The 15,267-nt window shown below is 42.1% G+C and overlaps 1 long non-coding RNA gene across 1 annotated transcript in view, besides 3 other annotated features; it reads right to left on the reverse strand.

Annotated features, from left to right (window-relative positions):
• Window positions 614–1,363: an enhancer, noted in NCBI's record as "OCT4-NANOG-H3K27ac-H3K4me1 hESC enhancer chr7:68568933-68569682 (GRCh37/hg19 assembly coordinates)". NCBI's record gives its function as "activates a minimal SCP1, AML or CMV promoter by ChIP-STARR-seq in naive H9 embryonic stem cells {active_cell/tissue: H9 hESC(naive)}" and the evidence as "EXISTENCE:reporter gene assay evidence [ECO:0000049][PMID:30033119]".
• Window positions 1,344–2,543: an enhancer, noted in NCBI's record as "CDK7 strongly-dependent group 2 enhancer chr7:68569663-68570862 (GRCh37/hg19 assembly coordinates)". NCBI's record gives its function as "activates an origin of replication core promoter dependent on BRD2, BRD4, P300/CBP, MED14 and CDK7 cofactors, with strong dependence on CDK7, by STARR-seq in HCT116 cells {active_cell/tissue: HCT116}" and the evidence as "EXISTENCE:reporter gene assay evidence [ECO:0000049][PMID:35650434]".
• Window positions 1,364–2,112: an enhancer, noted in NCBI's record as "H3K27ac-H3K4me1 hESC enhancer chr7:68569683-68570431 (GRCh37/hg19 assembly coordinates)". NCBI's record gives its function as "activates a minimal SCP1, AML or CMV promoter by ChIP-STARR-seq in primed H9 embryonic stem cells {active_cell/tissue: H9 hESC(primed)}" and the evidence as "EXISTENCE:reporter gene assay evidence [ECO:0000049][PMID:30033119]".
• LOC105375343 (uncharacterized) overlaps window positions 12,538–15,267 on the reverse strand; it is a 34,334-nt gene continuing 31,604 nt past the window's right edge. The window contains exon 3 of the long non-coding RNA XR_927647.1: window positions 12,538–12,750. This is a non-coding gene — a long non-coding RNA (uncharacterized LOC105375343). The remainder of the gene's footprint in view (window positions 12,751–15,267) is intronic.

A 15,267-nucleotide genomic window follows, 5' to 3' on the forward strand; every position in this document is an offset into this window, starting at 1 on the left:
GATCACTTGAGTCCAGGAGTTTGAGACCAGCCTAGACAACATAGCAAGACCCTGTCCCTACAAAAAAAAAAAAAAAAAAGTAAAAAATTAGCCAAGCATGGTGACATGCTCCTGTAATCCCAGCTACTCCAGAGGTCTAGGTGGGAGGATCACTTGAGTCCAGGAGTTTGAGACCAGCCTAGGCAACATAGCAAGACCCTGTCTCTAACAAAAGATAAAAAATTAGAGCGCTTGGTGGCATGCACTTGTAGTCCTAGCTACTCCGGAGGCCTGGATGGGAGGATCACTTGAGTCCAGGAGTTTGAGACCAACCTAGGCAACGTAGCAAGACCCTGTCTCTACCAAAAGATAAAAAATTTGAGCACATGGTTGTGCATGTACTTGTTGTCCCAGCTACTCCAGAAGCCCAGACAGTAGGATTGCTTGAGCCTCAAAGTCGAGGCTGCAGTGAGCTATGATCACGCCACTGTACTCAAGCCTGGGTGACAAAGCAAGTCTCAAAAAAATAATAATATTATAAAATAATATAAAAATATAAAATATATAATATTATAAAAAATATAAAATTTATAAAACATTATAAATAAATGTAATAGCCATATAAAGAGATATAGGGCAGAGTATGGGAAAAGAGTGCAGAGCTCTGAAACCCTCTCTGGGCACACCACCCTCCCAGCATCTCAATGTGTCCTCCAACTCAAAAGCTCTCTAAGTCCCATCCTTTACAGTTTTATGGAGGTTCCATTATGTAGGAACGACTGATTAAGTCACTTGCCATTAGTGATTCAATCTCCAGCCCCTCACCTCTCCCTGGAGGTCAGGGGATGGGGCTGAAACTTCCAGCCCTCTAACCCCATCGTTGGTTCCTCTGGCAACCAGCCCCCATCCTCCAGGAGTTACCTCATCAGCATAAACTCAAGTGTGGATGAAAGGAGCTTATTATGAATAACAAAAGATGCTCCTGAGTCAAATAGGAGTTTTGTTTTAAGTTCTTTGAGAAATCACCAAACTGCTTTCCACAACAGCTGAACGAATTTACACTCCCACCAGCAGTGTGTAAGCATTCCCTTGTCTAAGCAACCTCACCAGCATCTTTTATATTTTGACTTTTTAATAATAGCCGTCTTCACTGGTGTGAGATGGTGTCTCATTGTGGTTTTGATTTGCATTTCTCTAATGATTCGTGATGTTGAGCATTTTTCCATGTTTGTTGGCCACATGTATGTCTTCTTTCAATATGGGTCTATTCATCGACTTTGCCCACTTTTTAATGGGGTTGTTTGTTTTTTCTTGTTAATATGTTTAGGTTTCTTATAGATTATGGGTATTAGTCTTTGGTCGGATGCATAGTTTGCAAATATTTCCTCCTATTCTGTAGGTTGCCTGTTTACTCTGTTGATAGTTTCTTTTGCTGTGCAGAAGCACTTTAGTTTAATTAGGTTACATTTGTCGATTTTCGTTTTGGCTGCAGTTGCTTTTGGTGAAAAACTGCCTGTGCTTATGACCTGAGTGACAAAATAATCTGTACACCAAACCCCCGTGACACGCAATTTACCTATATAACGAGCCTGTACTTCAGGTCAGCTGCAGAGAGCCACTCACTTATGGTCACACCACAAAGGTGTAAACCAAAAATAAAATTCCTAGGCCCCAACCAACTGAGTGAACCCCTTTCTTAAACAAGGGGATCTGAAAAAACTAAAACTAAAAAACTAGTTCAGGTCATGGCAGAAAGAGGGGGACATGTCCCAATATACCCCTTCCCTTTGGAGTTCAGGCACAACTAACCAGCATTAACATTAAAATAGAGATCATAAGACCACAAAACAGACATTTTGTAGTAATAACGTCAGAGGCGTTTGAACCTGAGTGAGCAGAGTGACTCCATCTTGAACAGGGGCTGGGTAAAATAAGGCTGAGACCTGCTAGACTGCATTCCCAGGAGGTGAGGAATTCTTAGTCACAGGATAAGACAGGAGGTTGGCATAAGACACAGGTCACAAAGACCTTGCTGATAAAACAGGATGCAGAAAAGAAGCCGGCCAAGACCCACCAAGATGGTGATGAAAGTGACCTCTGGTTGTCCTCACTGCTCATTACACTCTAATTATAATGCATTAGCATGCTAAGAGACACTCCCACCAGTGCCATGACAGTTTACAAATGCCATAGCAACACCTGGAAGTTACCCTACATGGTGTAAAGCAGGCAGAAACCCTCAGTTCCAGAAAAATTGCTCACTCCTTTCCTGGAAAACTCATGAATAACCCACTTCTTGTTTAGCATATAATCAAGACATAACTATAAGTAACCTTCGTCCAGCAGCCTACACCCCTACTCTGCCTATGGAACAGCCATTCTTTACTCCTTTACTTTCCTAATAAACTTGCTTTCACTTTACTCTATGGACTCACCCCAAATTCTTTCTTGTGCAAAATCCAGGAGCCCTCTCTTGGGGTCTGGATCAAAACCCCTTTCCAGTAACAGTAATATACCAATTTCCAACCTGATTCTGGTATAGCATCACATGACAGAGAGCAGGCTCTGAAGGAAATCACAGTATTTTACCCCAAAATATATGTCTTTGTCATATTTTGAAATGACCCTGCAAAGCCGTCTCTTGTGGGAGAAATTTGCGTTCTGTAGAGAATCTCCTTCCCTTTCCAGGCCTTTTCCTGACCCAGGAGAGAATTAACTAAGAGTCTGACACCTTTTAAGATCCTAAAAGAGGCATTTACCATCCATTCTCTCTGAAGCCTGTTACCTAGAGGCTTCTTCTATGTAAAACCCAACTTCCCTATCTTAACTCAAGCATCTATTTTTCTGCTGACTTCAACTCTTTAGGCAAAGCTAACTTCTTCAACCAACTGTCAACCAGAAAATCTTTAAATTTACCTAGTGACACGTCAGCTCCAGCTTCAAGATGGCCTGTGTTTCAGGGCTGAACCAATATATACTTTCTAAGAAGATGTTACCCGAAAGGTGTCCCAATCCAGACCCCAAGAGAAGGTTCTTAGACCTTGCACAGGAAAGAATTCGGGGCAAGTCCATAGAGTAAAATGAAAGCAAGTTTTTTAAGAAAGTAAAGGAATAAAAGAATGGCTACTCTGTAGGCAGAGCAGCGGCATGGGCCGCCCTACTGAGTATACTTACACTTACTTCTTGATTGTATGCTAAACAAGGGGTAGATTATTCATGAGTTTTCCAGGAAAGGGGTGGGCAATTCCTGGAACTGAGGGTTCTTCCCCTTTTTAGACATTATAGGGTAACTTCCAGGTGTTACCATAGCATTTGTAAACTGTCTTGGTGCTGGTATGAGTGTCTCTTAGCATGCTAACGCATTCTAATTAACATACAATGAGCAGTGAGGATGACCAGAGATCACTTTTGTGGCCATTTTGGTTTTGGCCGGCTTCTCTTTTTTTTTTTTTTTTTTTTGAGATGGAGTTTCACTCTTGTTGCCCAGGGTGGAGTGCGATGGCGCCATTGCGGCTCACCACAACCTCCACCTCCTGGGTTCAAGCAATTCTGCCTCAGCCTCCTGAGTAGCTGGGATTACAGGCATGTACCACTACACCCAGCAAATTTTGTGTTTTTAGTAGAGACGGGGTTTCTCCATGTTGATCAGGCTGGTCTCGAACTCCCGACCTCAGGTGATCTGCCCACCTCGGCCTCCCAAAGTGTTGGGATTGCAGGTGTGAGCCACCACACCCGTTGGCCAGCTTCTTTACTGTTTTATCAGCAATGTCTTCGTGACCTGTATCTTGTGCCAACCTCCTATCTCCTCCTGGGAGATGCAGGAGGAAGAATTCCTAACTTCCTGGGAATGCAGCCCGGTAGGTCTCAGCCTTATTTCACCCAGCCCCTATTCAAGATGGAGTCGTTCTGGTTTAAACACCTCTGACATATTTTGACAAATTGGTTTATGTCTTTACCTGTAACTTCTGTCTCCCTAAAATGCATAAAACCAAGCTGTAACCCCACCACCTTGGGCACATGTTCTGAAGACCTCCTGAGGCTGTGTCATGGGCCATGGTCACTCTTATTTGGCTCAGAATAAACCTCTTCAAATGTTTGACAGAGTTTGGCTTTTGTTGTCTATAGCAATAACCTACATCTAAGTCACATCCTGACCCTGAATGTGGTGGGAATAGAAAGGCTGGGATGTTTTTGCTCGTCTTGGGACACTCCAGAGGCCAATACTGATCCAAGCTCCTGCTTCATTGGCTGAAGATTTGTGGGTTCTGCTCCAGTTCCCCATCTTTCTCAGTTCAGTCCTGTTTCCTTCTTGCTTCCTTTCCCCATAAACATCCTGCACCCCAACCTTTGTCTCAAAGCTGCTTCCAGAAAGCCCAGCCTGTGATACCACAGTCTCTTGACTACAAACCCACTGTTTACTTCCATAAGAATGACAGATACATATTTTTTTAAGCTTGAAAAACAAACCCTCAACACATCTATGCCTGAGGCAAAGCAGGGCAGAAGATCACAGGGTTTCTGTTATGCCAAAATCTCTCCTAGGTAAACGCTGCGTGCAGGCATCTAAGCCCCTGGAGGTGCTTCAATTTATATTTCATGTGCAAACACTCTAAGGAGGGCTGCGTGTGGAAGCCAGATCAAAACATTTATCCTCACTGTGTCTTGGAAAAAACTTATTAGCTGGCTGTATACAGATATTGAAGAGGAGCAGAAAAATGGAGGGAAAGAAAAAGAACAACCACCAAAAAAAAAAAAAATCTGTCGCTACCAGTTAAATAGAGAAGGCTGGTAGCAACAGATTTTTGGAGAGCCAGGGCTGCAGGTGGCAACTGTAATATATTGTTATGCATCGCCACCAGAGCCCTTGTAGAGCAACCGCAGACCATGTCTGACATTGCCTTCGCTGACCTTTTCAATATTGCCCCAGCGCGGTGGAGCTGGTGTTTCTAGAAGAATTCAAATCGAATGTACTCAGGCAGAAAGGATTTGGCTGTGGGCAAACCCTATCAGTCTCTTCACGTTTCGCCTTGTCATTCTCATGTAAATTGCAATTCTTTATTAGCATGGCCAGTCTTCTACCCAGGTGCAAGATGCTCCTGTCTAAATGTTAGCGAGGCCACATCTGCCTGCTCAGAGCAGCAGGGCTCCTCTGGCTATGACACCAGTTCAGATGGTTTCCCCGGGCATGCAGAGGCAGGGAGACTGCCAGGGTCCCACTTGAAAGTACAATGGGAATGTGAAGTTCAAAAAGAAAGGGGAGCTGGGCACGGTGGTGCAGGCCTGAAGTCCCAGCTACCTGGAAGTCTGAGGTGGGAGGATCGCTGGAGCCCAGGAGGACGAGGCTGCAGTGAGCTATGATTGCGCCACTGCACTCCAGCCTGAGTGACAAAGGGAGACCCCACCTCTAAAAAAGGAGAAGGAAGAAAGGGGAGACCAAACTTTGTCATTCAGTCAACTCTTTAATTTTTTTATTTTTACTTATTTATTCATCATTTTAGACACAGGCTCTCCCTCTGTTGCCCAGGCTGGACTGCAACAATGCAATCATAGCTCACTGCAGCCTCAAACTCCTGGGCTCTTGTCATCCTCCTTCCTCAGCCTCCTGAGCAGCTGGGACTACAGGCACGTGCCACCATGCCCAGTTAATTTTTTTAATTTTTTGTAGAGACGGGGGTATCACTATATTGCCCAGGCTGGCCTTGAACTCCTGTGCTCAAGTGATTCTTCCACCTTGGCCTCCCAAAGTGCTGGGCCTCCCAAAGCCACTGTTCTTGCCCTTCCTTTTATAAATTTCCCCAAGTACACCAATCTCTTCATGTCTCACCAGCACATAGTCATTGGCAGAGGAGACTCTGGGGAGAGCTGCCTTAGGAGACAGAGGGAGCCTTAGAGAGGCTTAGAGTGCAAGTTGGTAACACTGTGGATTATATAATCTTTCACTGCTTTCTCTGCTGCTAAAAGCATGACCAGGTTGGTAGCAATCATTTAAGGCCCCATGACTGCACATGGCAGTGCTCCAAGATCCCATAAGGACAGGCTCAGAGATCAGGATCTCCTGCCAAAGTGTTTCTCTTATTCCTATTCATTGCTTACCTTCCTTGCATACAGCCACAGTTCTCAAAGTGTCATCTGCATTGCAGAAGCATCGGTAGCACCTGGGAGCTTGTCAGAAATGCAAATCCCCAGGTGCCATCCTAGACTTACTGAGTCAGACAGTCTGGGGTGGGGCCTAGCAAACCGAGTTTTGGCAAGCTTTTCAGATGATTCTGATCCACGCCAAAGTGTAAGAGCTCCTGCTCTGATAGAAGCCTTTGTCTATCTCTCTAGCCTAATCTGCATCTAGCTCAGGGACTTTTAATCACTTGAGGGGAGGGGACTGTATTAGTCCATTTTCACACTGCTATTAAAGATGCTACCTGCGACTGGGTAATTTCTAATGAAAGGAGGTTTAATTGACTCACAGTTCTGCATGGCTGGGGAGGCCTCAGGAAACTTAAAATCATGGTGGAAGGCAAAGGGGAAAGCACGACACGTCTTACACGGCTACAAGAGCAAGACGGGGACAAGGGAACTGTCAAACACTTTTAAACCATTAGCTCTCATGATAACTCACACACTATAACGAGAACGGCATAGGGGAAATCCATCCGCATGATCCAATTACGTCCCACCAGGTCCCTCCCTCAACACATGGGGATTACAATTTGAGATGACACAGAGCCAGACCACGTCAGGGACAGTAGGTTTATCTCACCATGGTCGCCTCCTTAGAGGCGTATCTAAGGAGGAGAAACTTTGCCTGGCAAAGCAGTCAACAATTTAATGTTCCAGAAACATGGAGACAATGAATTAGAAGAGAATGAACTGACTTCTCCAGTGGCTGGAGGTCAATAATGTAGGGAAAACTAGAACCACCCCTTCCCTGGCATTTTTGGGGGCAGGTGAACCTCCTGGAGATATAGCCATACAAGGGAATCTACGAACTGTGATGTTAGGCCAAACTTGGTGGGTCATACCTATAATCCCAGCACTTTGGGAGGCTGTGGCAGGAAGATCTCTTGAGGCCAGGAGTTCGAGGCCAGCCCGAAGAACAAAGGGAGATCCTATCTCTACTAAAAATTAGTGAGGCAAAGTGATGTACACCTGTAGTACCAGCTACTTGGGAAGCTGAAGCAGGAGGATTGCTTGAGCCCAGGAGTTCGAGGCTACAGTGAGCTGTGATCGCACCACTGCACTCCAGCCTGGAGGACAGAGTGAGACTCCCCACTTGAAATAAAAGAGGAAGAAGAACTGCGATGTTGAGAACCCAGGTCTGATTTCACGTGGCACTTTCTCGGCTGGGCTATCAGTCCACATACACAGGAAACTGGTCATTAGTGAGAGATGGAGAGCAGCACCCAGGCACTTGCAGGCTTAGAACAGGAGCGATCAGGCTGTACCTCTGCAATGGGGGAGGACTTAATCCCAGCAAGTGGCAGAAATACTTGGCAGGAGAACCGAGGCAGCAGCCCAGTATGGGGACAGGATACAGAGGAAGATGGTTCTCGACCCAGATAGCAGGTCGATGGCAGCACAGTCATCTCCAGCTGGCTAAGGCCTGACTTACGCATCCTGTCCCAGATAAGGTTGGCTCAGGAGCTGGGGAGCCTCATTCTGATAGGAAAAGGATCAAAACAGCCTTGTGAGGAAAGACTAGAAAGACAAGAGCAGATGGATCCAATCCAAACTTACAGGTTTGAGAGTTTAAATAAATTCAAGGACTTTTCTCCCCACAAGCGAGGGATCTGAGGAGTCCATTGAAGCAAATACAACAGACACTCTGTGCTAAAAAAGAAAGAGCTTATAAAGAAGGCGGAAAAGGCTTCCATCACATCAAAAAGCTCTGAGAAAACAATATTTTGTCAAGTTAAGTGTAAAATAATCAAAAACATGTGGATAATGTCTCTAAAAATATACACAGCTCTGAAAATCAAGGTGGAGAAGAAGCTGATAAAATCTGTTTTGGTTTTGGCAGAATTCAACATGTTTGGGAGCGAGGTGCACCTCTTCAGGAAACAGGTTTTTCCTATTATTTTTCTTTCTCCCCACTCATAATCCTTGGGATTCAAGGAGGTTTAGAGGGAAAAGATCTTCAAAATCATCTCCTGGGCTCCCTCATTTAACACACGCTGAGGCTTCAGAAGGTTCAGTTATGTATAGAATTTCATAAATAAACAATGGTAAACCTTAGAGCACTGGAAAACCAGATCAGAGATTATTTTACTAAACAGAATTTCCTCTGTTATCTTTGTCTTCAAGTGACATATCCAGGAGCCATTCAAGACCAAGTGATTCACATACTCCATGGATCTTCTTTCCTACACTCAGGCCATACCTAGACATTGGGTGTATTCATCCTTTTTCACACTGCTATGAAGAAATACCTGAGACTTGGTAATTTATAAAGGAAAGATATTTAATTGACTCACAGTTCCCTATGGCTGGGGAGGCCTCAGGGAACTTATCATCATGGTGGAAGGGGAAGCAGGCACGTCTTACATGGCAGCTCGCAAGAGACAGCCTGTGAAGGAGGAACTGTCAAACACTTATAAAACCATCAGATCTTATGAGAATGAACTCACTATCACGAGAACAGCATGCAGGAAACCTCCCCCATCATCCAATCACCTCGCATAGGTCCCTCCCTCAACACATGGGGATTATGGGGATTACGAGTCAAGATAAGATTTGGTGGGGACACAGCCAAACCATATCATTGGATAAAGACAAATTTGATAGATACATCCTGGTCTTGGGCCTTGCCAAACTTGGGAGCTAAACCAGGAGAGATGCCCCACGTCTGCAGGGTTTGTGCCTTCTCACTTATCTTAGTTTGTAATCTGAAAAACAAAGTGTATTAGTCCTTTCTTAGATTGCTACCCAAGACTGGGTAATTTACGAAGAAAAGAGGTTTCATTGACTCACAGTTCCACAGGCTGTATAGGATGCATGGCTGGGAAGACTCAGGAAATGTACAATCATGGTGGAAGGTGAAGGGGAAGCAAGCACATCTTACATGGCAGGAGCAGGAGGAAGAGAGAGAAGGGGGATGTGCTACACACTTTTAAACAACCAGATCTCGTAAGAGCTCAGTCACTATCATGAGAACAGAAAGAGAATTACTGGAAGAGATTACCGAGAATGTAGCACAAAGAGATGAGGAAAGGAAATTTGGTCTAATATACACCTAATCAAAGTTCCAAGAGAAGAAAGTGTACAGAACACAGAAGAGAAAATATTAAGAGAAGTAATCGCTGAGAATTTTTAAAAAACAGTGGAAGATGTAAATCTTCAGATTTAGATACCACAACAAATCTAAAGCAGGAGTCGTAAAAAGACCATTGTATTAGTCCATTCTCATATTGCTATGAAGAACTACCTGAGACTGGGTAATTTATGAAGAAAATAGGTTTAATTGGCTCATCGTTCTGCAGGCTGTATAGGAAGCATGGCTGGGAGGCCTCGGGAAACTTACAATCATGGCAGAAGACAAAGTGGAAGCAAGCACATCTTCACATGTCAGATCAGGAGAGAGAGCAAAGGGGAAAGTGCTGCATACTTTTAAACAACTAGATCTTGTGAGAACTCACTATTATGAAAACAGCAAGAGGGAAATCTGCCCCGGTGATCCAATCACCTCCCACCAGGCCCCTCCTCCAACACTGGGGATTACAGTTCAATATAAGATTTGGATAAGGACAGAGCCAAACCATATCACAAAGTCAAGGTGTGGGAGTGAGGATCATTAAAAAGTAACTAAGAAGCCCAGCCATGAGATGCCAAGGTCCATCATTCATTGAGAGACATTAGAGACATGTACATAATTACATAATGATAAAAGGGTCAGTTTTCCAAGAAGACATAACACTCCTAAACGCACACATGCCAAACAACAGAGCCTCAAAATATATCAATCAAAACTGATAGAGCTGAACAGAGAAACAGGCCAATCCACAACTGGAGACTTCAACACTCTATTCTCAGCCATTGACGGAACTACTAAACAGAAAACCAGTATGAATACAGAAGAATTGAGTAACAGGGTCAACAAACAAGATCTAGTCGAAATATATACAACACCCTACCCAACATCAGCAGAATCTGCATTTTTTAATCAAGGGCCCATGTAACATTTACCAAGATTTGTGTTTAATGTGTGTGGTTACATTTAAGTCTATCACCTCCCATTTGTTTTCTACTTGTCCCTCTGTTGTGTCATTTGTCATCTTTTATCTTCTTTATTTGCTTATAAGCTATAACTCTGTGCTCTTTATTTTGATGGTTTTTTCCATTTTTTCAAATTTTTTCAATTTCTCACAATTTACTTTCAAACAACATACCATTTCACATGTAAGAAACTTATAATGATATACTTTCATTTATCTCTTTTTTGTGCTAATCATTTTGTGCTAATGATGCCATATATTTCACTTATATCTATGTTATAAACCCCAAAATATAGTATTATTTTGGTTTAAATAGTTGATTATCTTTTAAGGAGATTTAAATAGTAAGAAAATTTCTTACATGATATGATAGTTACCAGTTCTAATGCTCTCCATTTCTTATGAAGATCCATATTTCAATCTGGTGTGATTTTCCTTTTGCCTGAAGGACTTCCTTTAATATTTCTTAGAGTGTGAATGTGCTGGTGATTAATGGCTTCAGCTTTTGTATCCCTGAAAGAACCTTTATTTCATCTTAGTTTGGAAAGATTTTCATTTGGTATAAAATTGTAGGTGAACAAGTTTTTCTTTCAGTACTTAAAAAATGTTCCTCCTTTATCTTCTCTCTTGCGTTGTTTCAGATGAGAAATCTGATGTCATTCTGATTTTTATTTCTTGATACATAACATATCCTTTTGCTCCAGCTGCTTTCAAGATACTTTATCAACAGTTTGAATAATTTGATTATACTGCATCGTGGTGTAGGGCTTTTTAGTTTCTTGTGCTTAAGGTTCATTAAGCTTCTTGGGTCTGTGGGAATATAATTTTCATCAAATTTGAAATTTATTTGGTCACTATTTATCACAATTTTATCCCCTCCCTCTCTCTCCCCTAGGAGTTCCAATCATGTGTATATTAGGCTGCTTGAAGTTGTCTCATAGTTCACTGATGTGCCAATCACTTTTTTCTTGAATTTTCTTTTTGTGATTCATTTTGGTAAAAGGCAAAAGATTTATACAATCTGAAGAGAAACCAGAGTCTGTGTGATTCATTTTGGATCGTTTCTATTGTTGTGTCTTCAAGTTTATGAGTCATTTTTTCTACCGTGTCTAATTTTTGTTAATCCCATGTGCTTTTTATCTCAGACATTATAGTTTTTACCTCTACAATTCTGATTTAGAACTGTTTATGTGTTCAATGACTATGCTTAACCTTTTGAATACATGGAATATATTCATAAAATATATTTTGATGTCCTTGTCTGCTCTCTTCATCATAGACTATATTGTCATATTTCTTTGTATACCTGCTAATCTTATACTGGTGGACTATGTAAATTTTACCTTATTGGATGTTGGATTGTTTGAATTCCTGTGACATTTTTGAAATAACTATATTATTAGGATTTTCATAACAATTTTGAGTTCTTGGATGCAGTTAAATTATTTGGGAATAGTTTGATCCTTTGGGGTCATGCTATTATGATTTGTTAGGCAGATCTGAAGCCCTGTCCAATCCAGAGCAAATTATCTCCAAATATTGAGGCAAGACCTTCTTGAGTATTCTACCCAATGTCCCATGAATTATAAGTTTTTCCAGTTTGGCTGGTGGAAACAGGTGTTTTTTCCTGATGCTATGTGAGCTCTGGGAACTGTTTTCTAATCCTTTTAGTTCCCTTGCATCCATGTAATCACCAGCATTTTGCTAGGTGCTTGAGGGGGCATCTCTGCAAATCTTCAGAGTTCTTGCAGCTCTCTCCTCTCCAGTATTCTGCCTTATGAACTCCAGTCACTGTGGTCTCCCTGGACTCTCAGCTCCCTCTTTTCAACTAAGGGAGTCTGTTGGGCTCTTTCTGGGTTCTGCCTCCCTGGGCCACAGCCTAGAAACTCAAGACAGTAAGCTGAGACTATAGTAGGACTCACCTCATTTTTTTCTTGTCTCTCCAGGACCACTGTTCTTTTTCTTTTTTTAAATTGTTTTGAGGCCAGGTGTAGTGGCTCACATCTGTAATCTCAACACTTTGGGAGGTCAAGGTGGGTGGATAGCTTGAGCCCAGGAGTTCAAGACCAGCCTGGGCAACATGGCACAACCCCATCTTTACAAAAAAATAATAATAATACAAATTAGCCTGGTGGTGTGTACCTGTAGTCCCAGTTCCTTGAGAGGCTGAGGTGGGAGGATCACTTGAGCCCAGGAGGTTGAGGCTGCAGTGAGCTGTGATCATACCACTGCACTCCAGCCTGGGTGGCAGAGCAAGACCCCATCTCAAAACAAAAAAGATTGTTTTATATATTTTGTCAGAGTATTTTTATTGTTTCTGGCAGGATGGAAAATCCCCTCTCTGTCACTTCATCTCGGGTGAAAACAAAAGTCCTATAGGAGCTTAATCTGGGGCCAGAGGCCAGCCACAGGATCTCAGCAGAGGCCAAAACTAAGGATTCATCATACGGCATCCAGCAGGAATGTTGTCTCTCTGGATCCCCTGGTCAGCAATCTCATTCGTCATTTTTAATCCTAGTGCTGGTCTGAAATGCAAAACAATACCTTCTCTTTGTGCTCATGCTGGCTAAACATGGGAAAAGAAAGAGAAGTTCAAAGTGAGTTTTATTTAATACAGAGTTTGTTGAATTGTTTTAATTGAAAACAGGTCATTGACCCAAGTTTTTAAAATTGCAATTTAAATTTAATTTATTTTGGCTGGGCACAGTGGCTCACGCCTGTAATCCCAGGACTTTGGGAGGCCAAGGCAGGCAGATCACTTCAGGTCAGGAGTTTGAAACCAGCCTGGCCAACATGGTGAAACACCATCTCCACTAAAAACACAAAATTAGTCAGACATGGTGGCACGTACCTGTAATCCCAGGTACTCAGGAGGCAGAGGCAGGGGAATTGCTTGAACCCCGGAGGCGGAGGTTGCAGTGAACCAAGATTGCACCACTGCACTCCCAGCCTGGGTGATGGAGCAAGACTCTGTCTCAAAAATAAATAAATAAATATATATATACATATATTTAATTTGTTTTAACTATCATATAATAGAATCATAACATCATGGCTTTCAAAACAACTTTTAAAATAATGGTATTAAAAAGCACTGCAACTATGTAGCTCTTATAATTTACAAGCAATTTCATATGCATTATCTTTTTAAATTGTTTCCAACCTCTTTAGTACAGATACCTATACTAAGGCTTTTAATGGTTATTTGACCCCATATTTGTCAGCTACAGCTAAGACTCAAATTCAGATTATTATTTAACTCTGATGTATAATGTCTAAGTAATGATAGACTCTTAACTTTAAAAAGTTGATGTCATGGGGGAAAAAGTTGGAGTCTGTTCTGAATTAAAGGAGTCCAGAGAGACAAAAATAACAGAAGTCAAAGCATCGCTCTTGATTCGATCCTGGTTCAAGAAACAAACCAAAACTACAAAAGACATTTAGGGAGAAAATTTGAATATGGATTGGATTAGATCTTATCAGAGAATTGTCCTAAGTGTCACAAGTGTGACCATGATAGTGTCATTTGTAGGGGAATGTTGTTATTCCTAGGACACATGTAGGGAAAAAATTGGGGGGGTAAAATATCATGAACTTTACAACTTACAAGTGGTTTAGGATCAACTATATGTATATTCATACACATACGTAAGTAAAGCAAATATGATAAAATGTTATCAGTTGCTGAGTCTAAGCAGTGGGTGTATAGGAATTTAATGTATGATTCATTCAATCTTTCTGTATGTTTGAAAGTTTTAACAACAAAAAAGATGGGGGTTGCCGCGTGCCATGCATGACTCTAATCCCAGCACTTTGGGAGGCTGAGATGGGCAGATCACTTGAGGTCAGGAGTTCAAGACCACCCTGGCCAACATGGTAAAACGCTGTCTCTACTAAAAATATAAAACGTAGCCAGGAGCGGAGGTGGGCATCTGTGATCCCAGCTACATGAAAGGCTGAGGCAGAAGGATTGTTTGAACCTGGGAGGCTGAGGTTGCAGTGAGCTGAGAGTACACCACTGCAATCCAGCCTGAGTGAGAGAGCAAAACTCCATCTCAAAAAAAAAAAAAAAAAAGAAGAAGAAGAAGATGGGGAAGGGAGTAACCATATTAGCCTCTAAAACAAAACAACAAAAAGAATCTGCAGATAGACAAGGTATGACTGTAACCCTATCCTTGCAGAAAATAAAGAATCCCAGGACTGTGAATTTTCCTTCCCGACATTGGCCATGCATATAATCTTTGAGACAGATAAGTAAAATGTGAAATGCATTTACTTGAAACCAAAAACCTATTTGGATTAAAGTAGTGTTGAAGTGAGTAAACTACAATTTATGCAAATATATCAGAATGCTTTAGGCCTTCCTTGTTATACTCAGATACTTTTTATCATAGAAACCTACTTCCCAATAGCCAGAAAAAGAAATTTTTAAGTAACAATCTTAACATGACATCAGGTGTTGAGATGTATAGTCAGCTCTCATTATTCCCAGTAGTTTATGGTCTATAAAGTTTCCGCAAATGCTGAATTAGTAAATACCGAATCATTGCTTCTAGGGGAAATATGTACATATCTAGATATATATCATACATCCCAGCACTTTGGGAGGCCGAGGTGGGCAGATCACCTGAGGTCAGAAGTTCAAGACCAGCCTGACCAACATGGCAAAACCCCACCTCTACTAAAAAATACAAAAAAATTAAAAAATCAGCTGGGCGTCGTGGCGGGCGCCTGTAATCCCAGCTACTTAGGAGGCTGAGGCAGGTAGAATTGCTTGAATCCAGAAGGCAGAAGTTGCAGTGAGCCAAGACCATGCCACTGTACTCCAGCCTAGGCGACATAGAGAGACTCTGTCTCAGAGAAATTATATATATATAATCTTAAATCCTACAAACAATGAATCCTGGTGGATTCTCTTTTCTTTATTTTTACAAAGGAGAAAATGAGGTTTAGAAGTGTTCAATGACATGCCTGAGGCTACCTTCTCCCAAGTGTTAGATTTGGAATTCAAACCTAGTCCATCAGGTCCCAGAACCAGAGCTTCTCTCCCTACACTTCGCTGTTCCACCTGCATCTTCTGGAT

The sequence above is a fragment of the Homo sapiens genome, chromosome 7 (genome assembly GCF_000001405.40).
Source record: "Homo sapiens chromosome 7, GRCh38.p14 Primary Assembly".
Classification (NCBI taxonomy): Eukaryota; Metazoa; Chordata; class Mammalia; order Primates; family Hominidae; genus Homo; species Homo sapiens.